The 16,117-nt window shown below is 38.7% G+C and overlaps 1 protein-coding gene across 16 annotated transcripts in view; it reads left to right on the forward strand.

Annotated features, from left to right (window-relative positions):
* MAST4 (microtubule associated serine/threonine kinase family member 4) overlaps positions 1–16,117 on the forward strand; it is a 573,201-nt gene that overhangs the window by 312,573 nt on the left and 244,511 nt on the right. For 8 of the 16 annotated variants that reach the window (XM_024446044.2, XM_047417157.1, XM_047417158.1 and 5 more), the window contains one exon: positions 8,018–8,053. The exons of the other annotated variants lie outside the window; for them this stretch is intronic. In XM_024446044.2, coding sequence (XP_024301812.1) covers positions 8,018–8,053 — 36 coding nt within the window. The remainder of the gene's footprint in view (positions 1–8,017; positions 8,054–16,117) is intronic. 16 annotated transcript variants of the gene reach the window in all.

A 16,117-nucleotide genomic window follows, 5' to 3' on the forward strand; every position in this document is an offset into this window, starting at 1 on the left:
CCTGGCATACAATAAGTGCTGTATGTTTTCTTAAATAAATAAAATATATTGGGAATTATGCCCTTCTTTCTCTCCCCCCAGATCATTTATTTTTGTCCTGTTGAGTTAGACAAAAGACCACAAAGTAGGCTGGGGAAGTCCCCTTAAAGCCAGATCATTGGAGTAGCATTTTCTCAGGGGCTGTTCCATTTCCATGAAGAGGTGTGAAAGGGGCAGTTGACCCCACGTCCTTGGATAGATCTTTCACTTGTACCCTGCGTTGGTAACCCTAAGGACACGAGCTCTCTATATTGCTGTGGAGACAGATGACACATGTGTTCTGGCTCAGTATTATTAGGCCGTGAAGGAACTCACTCCCTGTCCTCAGTGGCCCCTCTATCAGATTTAAGCCATCTCTTCTCAGCAGGGTAATCAGGACACTCCTTGAAATTGTGTTTTGGGACTGACAGATGTTGATAGAATAATGCGGTGTATTATAGTGGTCTATATGGAAAATTTTAATCATAGAATTTCAGAGCTGGAAGAAGCCTTAAGACAAGTCTGACTGAAAATATCTTTATTTCGTAAACAAGGAACCAATGACTCAGAGAATTTGAGGCTTGCTTGTGCTCAGGGAGTATATATGTTGATTGCAAACCATGACCAAAATTTAGGGTTCCTAACTCCCAGGGACTGGCAAGCAGCCTTTACTTTTTGAGGTCAACATGCTTGGGTTAGAAACATAGATATCAACAAGGGAGTGGGTACTGATAGCGTTTGGCTGTGTCTCCACCCAAATCTCATCTTGAATTGTAAAAATCCCCACGTCAAAGGTAGGGCCAGGTGGAGATAATTGAATGATGAAGATAGCTTCCCCCACACCATTCTCATGGTGGTGAATAAGTCTCACAAGATCTAATGGTTTTATAAATGGGAGTTCTTCTGCACAAGCTCTCTTGCCTGCCACCATGTAAGACATGACTTGCTCCTCCTTCACCTTTTGCCGTGATTGTTGGGACTCTCGAGCCATGTGGACCTATGAGTCTATTGAACTTCTTTCCTTTATAAATTACCCAGTCTTGGGTATGTCTTTATTAGAGCATGAGAACAGACTAATACAGGTATGTTTTGTTTTATAAAAAAATGTGAGCATCAACACCCACAGTATGGACCCAATAAAGGGTAGACCTCACAGAGTTTGCTTGACTTCACCATGTATGTCATAGTTTCTTTGAATATTTTGGAAAGCAAAGCCTCAAACTTGCCTTAAAAGCATACCCTTAACAGTAGCTGAAGGGGAAACCTGCAGCCACACACCCAGCACTACCAGGATGCTGAGTTTACCTCAGACTAAAGAGAATAGTGACAGCCACACTGGTGTGGTGTAATGGTCCCAGCTGCAGTAACTGGCAGTCCCCAAATATATTCATTATCCAATTACCCATGTGAGCAGAGCAGCTGAATTCTGTATTGTTCTCTCTTTACCCGGGTTGTGTGGTAGCAAGTTGGGCCCTGGTAGCTCTAACAGGGAACTGTGGAGAGGTAGGACTTCTCTTGTGTCCTGGTGTTTCTTGGAATCTGTGCCATCTCCTCTGCCATTTTGACTCTTGAGATTTAAATTCTTCTTTTACTCCATGTGGCCATAGACTATCAGACCTAAGTAACTACAGGAAAATACCACACCAAATGGTTTTCAGGGTTTCTTTCTCTACTTTTCTGAGTTAGGGACCTCACCCTCTGAGTATTTTGGTGGGCCATTTTTTTTCCATCTGAATACACATGTGGTTTTTTTTTTTCTTTTTTTTTTTTTCTTTTTTTTTTTTTTGAGATGGAATCTCACTCTGTCACCAGGCTGGAGTGCAGTGGTGCAATCTTGGCTCACTGCAGTCTCCACCTCCCTTCAGGCGATTCTCCTGCCTCAGCCTCCCAAGTAGCTGGGACTACAGGCGCATGCCACCATGCTCAGCTAATGTTTGTATTTTTAGTAGAGACAGGGTTTCACCATGTTGGCCAGGATGGTCTCAATCTCTTGACTTTGTGATCCGCCCACATTGGCCTCCCAAAGTGTTGGGATTACAGGCGTGAGCCACTGCACCCAGCCCATGTTTTCTTTTAATAAGTTGTTTTATGATGTCACCTCTTCTGGGATGATGTTGAGGGCTTTCCCATGCTTAAGTACAGGAACATGAGACAAACCCATGGAAATGCCAGTAACTGCATACTTCCTCCCAGTGGCCGTGTGAGCTCTGCTTCATCCCGTGCATCACTCACATAACTTTTGACCAGCACCGTAAGGAAATTCTCTGCAGATAGTTCTGTGAACACATTTGCATGAGAGGAAAAAGTTTTACTGACTACAGTCTATATGTTTGATTTGCATGTGGAATCACATGCAAATGGTGGCAGGAACCTGACCTAGCATAGACAGACATATTTAAAACTTTTTTTAGATTGCAAACTCTAATAATAAGTTCAGGCTGGATGCAGTTGCTTACTCCTATAATGCCAGCACTTGGAGAGGCCAAGACAGGGGGATTGCTTGAGGTCTGGAGTTGGAAACCAGCCTGGGCAAAATAACGAGACCCTGTCTCTACAAACAAACAAACAACAACAACCCCCCCCCCCCCCCCCGCAAAAAAAAATTAGCTAGGCATGGTGGCATGTATCTATAGTCCTAGCTACTAGGGAGGCTGAGGCTGGAGGATTGCTTGAACCCAGGAGTTTGAGGTAACTGAGCTGTGATCATACCACTGCACTTTAGCCTGGGCAACAGAGTGGTACCCTGTCTCTAAAAAATAAATAAGTGAATGAATTTAAACGTGTATTATAGAAATATAATCTTTCAAGAAATATTTACATATTTCATAGATGTTTATGTGAAGATGTCCTTTATCAGAAAATGCTAATTTAGCTTATGCTTTATGCTCTTTATAGTGCAGAAAAAATGATTTTTAACTTTTGGTGTGTCATAGAGATAAGTGGGATTAACCTTTTGGTAACTTTAGCGTCGAGTGCCTAACTCTTCCTAAACCCTGATTTTCCAATGCAGTCTTTTATTGTTATTGGGGGTGGTGGTATATGCTTTTACTTAGAGGGGTCAGCTTTGAGGCAGAGAGTATCTTCTAGATTTATTTTATTTTTAGGAAATTGAGCAGGGCATTTGATTTGAGAAATTGGTACTGTGTGCCTTCCATATGTGGCTGCTGTGGAACAAGTGGTAATGTTAATTGCAGGGAGAGTGGGACCTTCCCACTGGACTAGCAGCAGGACAAAGTGAGGGAGAGTTTTGCTCCTTTTCTCAGCTCCTTTTGGCCTCTCTCCCTAGGCAATAAACATTCAAGTTTGCTTTGCATGGGGCACATGAGTGGGTTTACCAGGGGGTTTGTATTTAAGCATATAAACCATAGTGTTTAGTATCTTAACAAATCAAGAATCAATTATCTGCAAGAATAAGCAGAAGGTTTTTCTTATGTCTAGAATAAATTAACTTAAATGCTAAAACCAGTCCTTGTGGATTAAAGAAGCACTTGGAAGCAATGAAGTATATTTTTAAAATGCACTTGACATCATACACTGGAATGAAATTAATAGATCAGTACACAGTTTTCATGTCTTAGAGGAATAGTGGTGGCTTTTTAAGGTGGATTTCTAAGGTACTACCAATATGTATATAGATGTAGTTGAATTTGATAGAATCATGGGGAGAAATGCCATCAAACACCTGGTTAAAAGCATATTACTTAATTATTATCTTTGAGAATTCAGGCCACTTATGTTTATTCTATTTTTTTTCTCTTTTTTTGTTTTGCTGAAAGATGTTGGTTGGTCATACCTTTAAGATGATGGTGGTGATTGTCTTGGGAGGCACTTAAAAGGAGAATTAAAACAAAGAGACTTCAAATTGGTTTTCATAAGGGTCTAAGTCTTTCCCTCCCAACACACACCACATCTACTATTTAATATCATCTAGGCTGTATTATGTTCATGTAACCAAGAATTGTGAATTCTGTTTGTGTTAACCCACAGAGGAATTCAAAACCACAAAACAAAACCTCTAAAACTGCTTCTTTTCATGGATTCCCAAGTAGCATGAACCAGTTTCAGCTGTTCCTACATGGTATAGTAGTGAGGTTTCCCCAATAGCTAGCATTGCATTTCTCTCTTAAAAAAGTATTATTGAGACATAATTGGCATACAATAAACTGTACATAATTTAAAGTGCACAATTTCATAAGTTGATATGTGTATACGCTCGTGAAACCACCAGCACAGTTGAGATAATAAAATACCCATCTCCCCCAGAAGTTTTCTCCTGCCCCTTTGTCATTGCTCCCCCACCCCCACATCCCCAACCAGACAACTACCAATGCTTTCCATCCCTAAAAATTAGTTTACATTTTTTAAAAACTTTACATAACTAGAGTAATATTATATGCACCCTTCTTTTAGGCCTGGCTTCTCACTCAGCATAATTATTTTGAGATTCGTCCATGTCATAGCATATGTCAATCATTTATTAGAGTTGTTTTGCTAAGTAATATCCTATTGAATGACTGTGTCAGTTTCATTAGTCTCTTGCCACTGGACATTTGGGTTGTTTATAGCTTTTGACCATTATAAATAAACCTGATATATGTGATCTGTAAATGTTTTCTCCCAGCCTGTGGCTTGTGTTTTTATTCTCTTTATAGCATCTATTGAAGAGCAAAAGCTTTATTAATTCGTTCTTTAAATGCTTTTGGTATTGGAGCTAAGCCGTCTTTCCCTAATCCAAAGTCACAAAGGTTTTCTCATATGTTTTCTTCCAGAAGTTTTGTAGTTTTAGATTGTACATTTAGGTCTATGATTAATGTTAGTTGATTTTTATACATGGAGGGTGAGATATGGATTGAAGTTCATTTCTGCATACACGTCTCTAATCGTTCCCGCACCATTTGTTGAACAGGCTATTTCTTTCTCCTCTGAAATGCTTTGAACTTTTGTCAAAAATTAGTTGTCTGTGTATTTGTGTTTCCATTTACAGACTTTCTATTTCATTGATTTGTCTTTACATCAATCTACTGTCTTGATTATTATAGCTTTATAATAAGTCTTGATCTCAGAAGCATTAGTATTCCAACTTTGTTCATCTTTTTTCAAAGTTGTTTTGGCTGTTCTAGTTGCCTTAATTGTAGGATCAGTTTGTCAGCTTCTACAAAAAAAAAAGCCTGTTGATATTTTTATTGAAATCATATTGAATCCATAGATCAATCTGAGAAGCTATGAAAAGTTGACCAGTACTTATACTGAAATTCTAGTCTAAGAGATGGATTAAAGAGGACAATGTGTAAGCTGATACAGTGTGGAAAGATGGGATGGAATGGCCCCCAGGGTGTGCTGATAGAGAAGAAGGACCAGGCTGGGGAGATTGAGTGGAGGAATGAGTGATCATAAATGAGCAAATACTTTGTCCAAAAAGCCCCTCAGAGAAGTGCAAGGGACGTAGTTGGGTGGGTGGTTCAGGGAGTAGCTCAAGTAATGATTTGAAGCTGAAGTCAGAAGGAACTAGCCACATTTCTTCTAGAAAGAACTATAATGGAGAGCTCACGCTTAGCATAGAGAGGGGGTAGAAGAGGAAGAGTGTGACCAGAGGAGGTTCAGTGGCTGGGGAGAGAACCACGGGTCCAAAATGTTGTGATGCAGGGGACTCAGAGGGTTACATCATGCTTTAATGATTGCTACATTGCCTGAGTCTGATACAACAATGAAGGTCAGTTATACACTTGAACTGATTGCTTATCTAGGACAGTGGGTCTCAACTGGGGGTGATTTTACCCCCAAAGATGACATTTGACAATATCTAGAGACCTTTTTGGTTGTCACAACTATTTGGGGACCAGGGTTTCTCTCACTGTCTTCTAGTGGAGAGAGGTCAGGGATACTGCTAAACACCTACAGTGAACAAGACAACCCCAAAGAATTATCTGCCCAAAATATCAGTAGTGCTGAGGATGAGAAACTCTGATCTAGAGATCGAGAATCAGAAAAGAAGGTAGAGGCCCGGCGAGGTGGCTTATGCCTGTAATCCCAGCACTTTGGGAGGCAGAGGTGGGTGGATCACCCTGAGTTCAGGAGTTGGAGACCAGCCTGGTCAACATGGTGAGACCCTGTCTCACCTAAAAATACAAAAATTAGCCGGGCATGGGGTGGCACACACTTGTAATCCCAGCTATTCAGGAGGCTGATGCGGGAGAATCATTTGAACCCAGGAGGCGGAGGTAGCAGTGAGCTGAGATCGTGCCACTGCATTCCAGCCTGGGCTTCAGAGTGAGACTCTTGTCTCAAAAAAAAAAAAAAAAAAAAAATCAAGTGGAATGAGAGCTGATTGTTTGCTGTGAGATTTCATGTTTTCTTCTGAGGAGAAATATTTGTTCTCTTGTATAGTGACTGTGGGATGTTTCCCTGGATGATAAGAAATTAGTCTGTGGGACTCCTCTTTGGGGATGTTTTCAGAAGATTTCTAAAAAGGTTATCAAATAAAGCTAGTTTAAAAAAAGAATAGCTTGACTAAAAGTAATTGGAAGAAAATTTTAGCATTTGAACTAGTGTACTTAAGAAAATTATTCTCTTTGGACATGGCATTGTCCATAGATGAGTTTGTCAATTAATGTACTTTTCAGTACAAGTAATAGAAAACCTAACTCAAAGTGATTGGAGGAAAAAAATGCCAGTTGTGTAACTAAACAGTTGAGGCTGCACGCGGGCGCTGGTCCCGAGGGTCAGTGCTGTCTTGGGGACACAGGTCCTCCTGCACTGGGGGGCTAGTCCTGAGGCTCACTGCTGTCTCAGGGACACAGGTCCTCCTGCACTGGCTGCAGGCTTCCTTCCTGGCTCACCCCTTAGTGTCCGCCTGAGGTTTCCAGAGTTAATGGAAGAAGACGAAATTTTCTTCTCCTACCATTATGGGTTTCTCTTCGATTGGACCATTTTAAATTATGTGTTTAATCCTGAACATGGGAGTGTTTCTAGCATTACCATCATTAGCTTAGACCTGCGTTGTCCAGTGCAGCAGCCACTAGCCACATGTGGCTCTCAAGCTCTTGCAATGCGGCTAGGCCAAACAGATCCAGAAAAAGAATGGAAATATCTCATTAGTAATTCTTATGTTAATAGCATGCTGAAATGATAGTATTTGTGGGTATATTGGGTTAAATGTTATGAAAATTATGTTAACCTGTTTCTTTAAAAATAATTTTAATGCGACTACTAGAAAATTTTAAATTGTATAAGTGGCTCTGAATTGTATTTCTGGTGGAGACCAATGGCTTAGAACATTCAGGAGTCCTTGGAAATGGAGTGTAGTCAGTTCCACCCAAACTACATGGCTGATACACAGGGGGGAAAGAGAGATGGAATGGATATTAAGCAAGTAGCCCCAAATGAACACAATGATGAGACTGGCATAGGCAAAGAATGTTTGTTCATTTGCTACTGTTTTACTGAAGATGAATGTATAGAAATACTACTGTACTACCATTTATAAAAGTTAATAACATAGTTTTGAAAATTATGAAATTACTATTGTGCTCATAGTAACTAGTGAAACAGCACAAAGTTATACAAAGAGGAGGTAAATGATCTCCATCCCTTCCAATCCCTGTCTCTATCCACAACCTTAGGTAGTCATTGTTAGACTGGTGTGTATTCTTCCATTCTTCACTTCATATGCATACAGGTGTAGGTACATTTGCATACATTGATTTGTTGCAGTTGTTGCTACTACCTGTCTTAAACAAGATGTTAAGCACCCACTCTTTAGTTTTCTTTTGTCACCTTATCAGTCTCCCAAGTCAGTGGATACAAATTTATCCCATTTATTTTAATAATTATATTATGTTCTACATTATAGATATACCACATTTTATTTAACCATTTTCCTATTAACTGACATTCTTGTTGTTTTCAGTACTCCCTTTCTCCCCTCCCCACAACAAACAGTGCTGCAATAAACAATTTTTTTACCTATATCCTTACGTACTGGTCCTTTTTTCTCCTATAGGATAGATTCCCAGAAGTGGAATTGCTTGGTCAAACGGTATGTGTATTTCTAATTTTAATAGCTATCACTTTACCCAAAAGAATAGAAAATCACCTTCACCCATAAGAATGCCCATTTTCTACATTCTCACCAGCACTGGATGTCACTGCCCTTAATTCTTTCCAATCTTATTACCCCTGGTCATTACTTTAAATTGCATTTCCTTCACTACCACTGATGTTGAGTATATTTTCATATGTTTACTCTTCATTTACATTTCTCTTTTCTTCACTTCATGCTTATTTTCACTGCCCATTTTTCCATTTAGTAGTGTTTTTCTTTTTCAGTTTCTACAAACTATTATGTGAAAGTATTAATCCGTTGTGGTATGTGTGCAAATGTCTTTGCAGTTTTTATCTGTTTATGATGTCTTTTGCCAAATGAAATTGTTAATTATTATTTAATCAAATATGTCTTTTTCTTTATTGCTTCTGAATTATTTGTTTTGCTCAGAGTGGTATTGTCCACCCCAAGGTCATGCAGATATTCCCTTAAATTTTCTCACTATTTTTAAAAAAACATTCAATCTTCAACTTAAAATTTTGTACACGAGATGAGGTAGGATTCTCTTTCTTTTTTTTTTTTTCCCTAGATGGATGACCAGTTACTTAAGTCCTAGTTAATACAAGAAAATTTATTTTTCATGGGATTGAAATGTTGTCCTTGTCACATATAAAGATGCCATATATATTTGGAACTATTTCTGGACTCTCTATTCTACTCCTATCTGTCTGTTTCTGTGCCAACACCATTCTGTTTTGAATACACTGGCTTTTCTAGTGACTTATAATTTCTGGTAAGTCCTCCTTCACTCTCCTTTTACACTTTCATGACTTTTTTTAGCCAGTTATTTTTCCACATTGTTCTGGTTAAATTAAAAATTTAAAATTGAAGGCGTTTTATCGTAAATGCTTTTAAAATGAAAGGTAATATAACACTACTTAATACGTAGAACCAAAAATTTAATATTTCTCAGTGTGGAGATCTCTTTACCTGATGCCACTAATTGGAAAAATATTTACTGAGAAACTAAAGGTTACTACTTCTGTCAGTTTTAATTCTTTAAAAGTGATTTACTTTATCTCTGTGATAATTGTACAATCATGCCAAGATGCAAATATTGGGATATAGCCATGACTTTTTAATTATCTGATAATTATATTATTGCATTAAAGCTTAAGGGGTTAAAGTTTTCAATGAATGTAAGTTTTTAGTTTGCATGTCTGTTTATGTACCAAATTATGAAGTATACCCATATCTGGATTGGTTGAGAGATTTGTAAATATGATGTGAACAAAGAACTATAACTGAAGTGCACAATACACCATGTACTTTGGAATCTTTTGTGACTTAATTCTTTTTAAGCTTAATGTTGAATATTACGTGGACTTTAGAAATTGTCACACTTGAAACTGGATAAAGTTTTCGAGTATTTGATATGCTTTTGGCCATTCTTAACTTTTAATTTATACTGTATATTGACATTAACTTAATTGTTTTTACTGACATTCTTAATTGCTTTTTGGAATTCATTAGCTGGTATAATACTAAAGTAATAAATACGTTGTGTTTTTCTAAAGGCATCTGAAATAGTGGAGCTAAATACTAAAACTGGGATAAAAATAATGGTAATTTTAGCTTACAAATAAAGACAAACAAATGTGAGGTCTCTATTTTACTTATGGAAGTAGAAGGACATCCTCATGTAGGTTCTACCTATGTTTACTTGATTAAGTAGAAAAAATTATTAGTTTATTCTGTAGCCAAAAATAAAATGGTGAAATGATTGGTATATATTATTGAATGATATATATAATGAATGGTATATATATTAATGATATACTTAGATAAAATTGTTTTAAAAATTGAGATTTTGTTCTTGACCAGCTTGGCCAACATGGCGAAACCCTGTCTCTATTAAAAATACAAAAATTAGCTGGGCATGGTGGCACGTGCCTGTAATCCCAGCTACTTGGGAGGCTGAGATGGGAGAATTACTTAAATCTGGGAGGCGGAGGTTGCAGTGAGCCAAGATCACACCACTGCACTCCAGCCTGGGTGACAGAGCGAGACTCTCAACACACACACACACACACACACACACACACACACACACAAATTTGAGATTCCTTCTAATTTTAATAGTCGTATAATTCACATAAATTGATATGGCACTTTCTTGCATGTATATGAATATTAAAGATGATAATTAAGAAAAGAAGGGGAAATTAAGTTACTTGCATTAAGACCAAAAAAGGATAGTCAACTTAGAGTTAAACTGAAACCTTCCATATGAACTTATCATCTTTACTAAATCAAAACAATTTGCCATCTCATTCTAAAGAAGGTAATAAACAGGCCGGGCATGGTGGCTCACACCTGTAATCCCAGAACTTTGGGAGGCCAAGGTGGGCAGATCACTTAAGGTCAGGAATTTGTGACCAGCCTGGCCAACATGTTGAACCCCATCTCTACTAAAAATACAAAAAACTAGCCAGGCATGGTGGCACACGCCTGTAATCTCAGCTACTTGGGAGGCTGAGGCAGGAGAATCGCTTGAACCCACGAGGCAGAGGTTGCAGTGAGCTGAGATCGTCACTGCACTCCAGCCTGGGCAACAGAGCAAGACTCCGTCACAGAAAAAAAAAAAAAAAAAAAGAGAAAAAGGTGATAAACAGTTACCTTCTCTAGTACTCATATAAAAAACTAATAGGCACTTTATTTACCCTGATTTTGGTCTCTAATATTATTCTCCACTAAAGGTCACCAGGACTGTTTTTGGAACATAACTGGATGTCATGATTGAAATAGGCAGAATTTTGTTGGAACATTTTCTTTTTTTGGAACTCTTTCGCTCTCTTTCTCTATTTTTCTCTCTCCTTCCTTCCTTCCTTCCTTCCTTCCTTCCTTCCTTCCTTCCTTCCTTCCTTCCTTCCTTCCTTCCTTCCTTCCTTCTTTCTCTCTCTCTCTCTCTCTCTTTCTAATGAACAAGGATGCTTTTAATGATGTGTGGAAGTTGAGCAGATGAACCAAATTGAGGTAACTTCTGCTGGCTAGTAGTGAAAATTTAAGTAGCAAAGAGGAAAGTAATTATAAGCCATTTTAACAAGTTGAACCTCTCAAAAGCCAAGAGTCAATCGTGATATATTCAGAGGTGACAAATGATACAAACTATGCTAAATAAAAGGCATATTGTGTTTCCAGTATTTTCAAATAAGCTGCATTTTGGTCAACTCAAATTGTGTTTCCCTACTCTCGTTTGAATCATTATCAAAATTGACAGAGTTGATAAAGATAAATATAAAAAATTAGAGTATATTTTAAATATAATTATGTGTATCTGTGTAAATTCCACATTGTTAATTTTAAGGTAAAATTGTTTTAAAATACAAGTAGAATCAGATTTAAAAACCGTAAAAATCAATAAATAACAGGTATCATAAGATTAACACTTGTTTCTTTTATAATACTTGCATTTAAGTGTTATTAATATGTTTCTCTTATAATACCTACACTGAAACATTGAATGTGTGATCTCAGCTCACCACAACCTCCGCCTTCCAGGTTCAAGGGATTCCCTTGCCTCAGCCTCCCGAGTAGCTGGGATTACAGGCATGCGCCACCATGCCTGACTAAGTTTTGTGTTTTTATTAGAGACAGGGTTTCTCCGTGTTGGTCAGGCTGGCCTCGAACTCCCTACCTCAGGAGATCCGCCCACCTCAGCCTCCCAAAGTACTGGGATTACAGGTGTGAAAATGTTTCTTTTATAATACTTATATTTAACCCTTGAATTTGTTCCAGGGCTGCCTAATTTCTAATGACTCTGGAAGATAGAGTCATTAGAATAGAGAACTTTTCTGTTTTTGTGAAACACATAAACATAAACAACCAGAAAGCCTGGGGGTTGGAGTGAGGATTGGAGTGCCCAGACAGTGCTGTGACTGTGGAGTTTATTATTCCCAAAGCCAGAAAAATCACAGCGGCTGCAGTGGACCAAGATGCCCAAAAAGCCACTTACGATTAGAGGGTACAAAGTGATAAGTTGGGATGCACTAGAATAATAAAGCAATGTTCACATGACTTAAAGAATAAGGTCAGGTGGCAGGGGGGTTGCCCTAAAACTGCAACATTGGGTTAAAAAAATCATGTGTGTTGATTTAAATGAATCAACTAAGGTTATGTTAGAGCCCCTAAGTCTGACATAAGGGTACTAAGCAAATGAGTATTCTGTGCTGACTAGAAAACAATAATATACCTCCAAAAATATTTCAGGCCTCATGTTCAAAGCGGTACTCCATAAAGGCCGGGGACATCACTCCTGGACCTAATGAGGTGAGGTAAACTGCAGCCCACCTTCGTCCAGAGGCATTCTTAATTTATATCAAACTGAAATAAAACCCTTATGTGACATTGTAAAAGATGAAAAAATAGTACAACTAAAGATTAAAACTGCGGCCAGGCATGGTGGCTCACACCTGAAATCCCAGCACTTTGGAAGGCCGAGTCAGGCAGATCACTTGAGCTTAGGAATTCGAGACCAGCCTGGCCAACATGGTGAAACCTCATCTCTACTAAAAAAAATACAAAAATTAGCCGGTATGGTGGCGCACGCCTGTAATCCCAGCTACTCAGGAGGCTGAGGTGGGAGGATGGCTTGAGCCTGGGAGGTGAAGGTTGCGGTGATCCTAGATCATTCCACTGCACTTCAGCCTGAGTGACAGAATGGGACCCATCTCAAAAGAAAAATATGAATCAAGATCAATGTTTTGCATGCATTAATTATCAATGTAAGACTTGTAAAGTTTGCATACAAATGGCCAAGATAAAATGTAACTTCATGTAACGTTCTAATTAAATAATATTATCTTCTTGTGAAAATGCTGCCTTTATTCAATATTACTTTCATGTATTTGGTAAGATGGTACCATCTTAGATTGTCTCAAAATGAAATGCCACCAGTCTTCCATCTTTATTTTGCCTTAGTCCACTGCTAGACTATGTTAAGCCTCCTACACACAGGAGGTAGCAGATTACTGACACAACAGATTCAGTTCCTATGCGGGACTTCCATATTGCTGAAATTTTAAATGGCTCTATCAGTGGGAAAGTGTAGCATCCTAAGAGAAGATGCAGTTCTTTTGGAGTATGGATCCACTCTGTTTCTGGGCTCGCTGTGGAAATTGTAAATCTGCTGTAATTGTTACCTGAGTGCTCGTCTTCCCTGCTATCATGTCTTCTTCCTATTAAGAGATGAGTTGAGACTGCTCCATTTATTGGGATGAAGCCATTGGGTCAGGAGTCAGTGACCCTTATTCTCTGTGCCTTAAAGAGAAATAGCCTCTTTCCTTTGGGAACCTATTGTGAGCTGGTGACATGTACTGCCAGCTGCATGTAACTTCCAGGTTAACTCATGTCAAAGGACTATCTTTTAAAGCGACACATTGAATTTGGTCCCTAGTTATGAATCCCCACAATACTTGTGTACATCTAAATGTTTAAATGTCAACCTCTTCTCCGTTTTCTGCTGTCATTTCTGCTAAAAATGACAAAAATTGTAATGAATGAAATAACTACTTGCAAAAAAAATACTGTCTCTTCTAGTATTGCCTTTGTTAAAGGCCAGCTTACTATTGCTTAGAAAGGGATAGGACTCTTGAGATGTATGAATAGAAAACTTCAAAAGTGAAGCTGTCAAAGTAATGGAAAATAAGGATATTTTAAATATAATTGCAGTTGAATTCAGTAGTGAAAAAAAAGTCAAAGGATTTCTACTTAATGCCATCCTGAGGTGTGGAACATTTTGTAAGAATGAGTAGGATATTCACAGAAAGGAGAGCACCTCAGCATTCTCCAATTTAGGGCGGCACATGTTCCCCAACCTCCAATTTATCTGACCAGGTCTCCACTGTATCTGTTAAGACCCCTTCATTTTCATCTTCTCGGGCATCCAACCGTGGAGCATAAGATCACATTTGTTAGGGACACTGTGACTGAACAAATATTTTCTTTTACATGGTGCTTTCAGAAGAATTCTTTTATCTCCTAGATGGCCAGGCTCCTTGGAAGCCTGAACAATAAAATCTGAGCGATCTATTTCAGCACCAGAATCCTGTGAGCTCAACACACTTTGAAGCGGATTGCTCCCCATTGTGGGGCCACAATAAAAAGTGGGGTTTTTCATAGTCCTTGTATTAATGTCTGCAAAGCCAGATGGCTTTGTAAAATGAGTGCAAAAGCAGTATAACTGATTAAAAGAAACGCTGGGTATTTAAAGGCTTCCATACCCAATGTGAGTCTGGCAGAAAGCATTGTCGTCTTGGGATACGTTAATATTGGGGAATCTCACTCTCCCATCTTCAAGGGTCAGCCGAAGATAATCGAGACAGGTGTTGGTCACAGGAGCCTTCAACATGAAGGCTGAAAAAATATGTCTAGCTGGCCATTGAGAGAATTGCCACAAAACAAAATCATGCAACTGGTTGGTGAGGGAAGTGCTTTCTGTAGGTAGAAGTTTCTGAGGTTGTGGCTATCACGTTGTTCTCTTTTTCCTGTTTTTTTATTGTGGTCCTAAATCTACATCCTCCTGTAACCCCCAGGTTCCATTGTCTTATACCTAAGGGTAACCAAACTCATGCTTCTTCTCAGTATAGTCTAAATGACTCTTGAGGTTGCAAAGATCTTGCTTTTTGGTTGCTGCTCTAGAAATCATCCTGCCTGTGTTTGTAACCCTGCCTGCTGACCTTAACCTCACAACACAGTCATATATTTCAAGTTGTTTGGGGAGAAGGGGGTTGATGAAACCTGGCCTTGTACATAAAGGGATTCAGAGATGTGGCAAATTGTTCTCTGACTTTAAAAGCTATCATTCAATTATTGGGAAATGGCATTCAGGACCGAAGGAGCAAAAAGCTCATCTTAAGATGTGTTTTAAAAACCTGTCATAAAAGAGTTAGGTGGCCCCTGGTTTAGTTGCTTTTCCATCATCAGGAAACCCTTTAATCTTTCAGTGAATGACATATGATAGGGTTTTAAAAACCAAGCCACCTTGCTGTTCCATTTTCTCCTTGTTGCCATCTCATCTTCCTGACTCATCAGATTTGGTGCTGATCTGCTTGCAAAGTAGGAAAGGCAGAGGGCCTGGCACCTGTGTATTCAGTTGAAATAGCCAATTTCAGAAGAGTTTGTACATTTTGACCTTTCTGAACTTCTTTGGATCCTTTTGAAGAGGGAAGTAATTCTAACCTGGAGGCATTCCCAGTAATTATTTTGGAGAATAAACTGATATGTGTATCCCTATTATTGTGGTCTATCTTTTGAGTAAAAAAATAGAATTTATAATATTTTAATATGACTACTTGGTCTTTGTAGAAAATAATTTTTTTTTTTTTTTGAGATGGAGTCTGGCTCTGTCACCCAGGCTGGAGTGCAGTGGCGCGATCTCGGCTCGCTGCAAGCTCCGCCTCCCAGGTTCACGCCGTTCTCCTGCCTCAGCCTCCTGAGTAGCTGGGACTATAGGCGTCCGCCACCGCGTCCACCACCGCGCCCGGCTAATTTTTTGTATTTTTAGTAGAGATGGGGTTTCACCATGGTTTTGATCTCCTGACCTCGTGATCCGCCTACCTCTGCCCCCCAAAGTGGTGGGATTACAGGTGTGAGCCACCGCACTGGGCCTGTAGAAAATAATTTAAACAATATTTAAATTGATCATGTAGGTGGTCATTTTAGAAAAACTAGAAAATACAGATAAGAAAAAATGCATTTAAAATTACCCCATATTTTATCACTTAGGGAAAAGATAGTTTACAAAGCAGAAAACTGAGCTTTTACTTCTATCTTTTGATGCATTAAATAATTTTTCCTTTAAGTACTTTCAGTGTTACAGTCTCAGCATTTAAGAAATAGGATAACATTTTATTTTACTGTGAAAATTCTTAGATCATAAAGCATGGATCGTTTTTTCTGAGTATTTATATTATAGAAAAATACAGAAATGTGAAGAATAAGATAGTTTTTACCCATAATCTAACCATGTAGGATAGTTGGCACAAATGTTTTTCTATA

The sequence above is a fragment of the Homo sapiens genome, chromosome 5, assembly GCF_000001405.40.
Source record: "Homo sapiens chromosome 5, GRCh38.p14 Primary Assembly".
NCBI classification, from domain to species: Eukaryota; Metazoa; Chordata; class Mammalia; order Primates; family Hominidae; genus Homo; species Homo sapiens.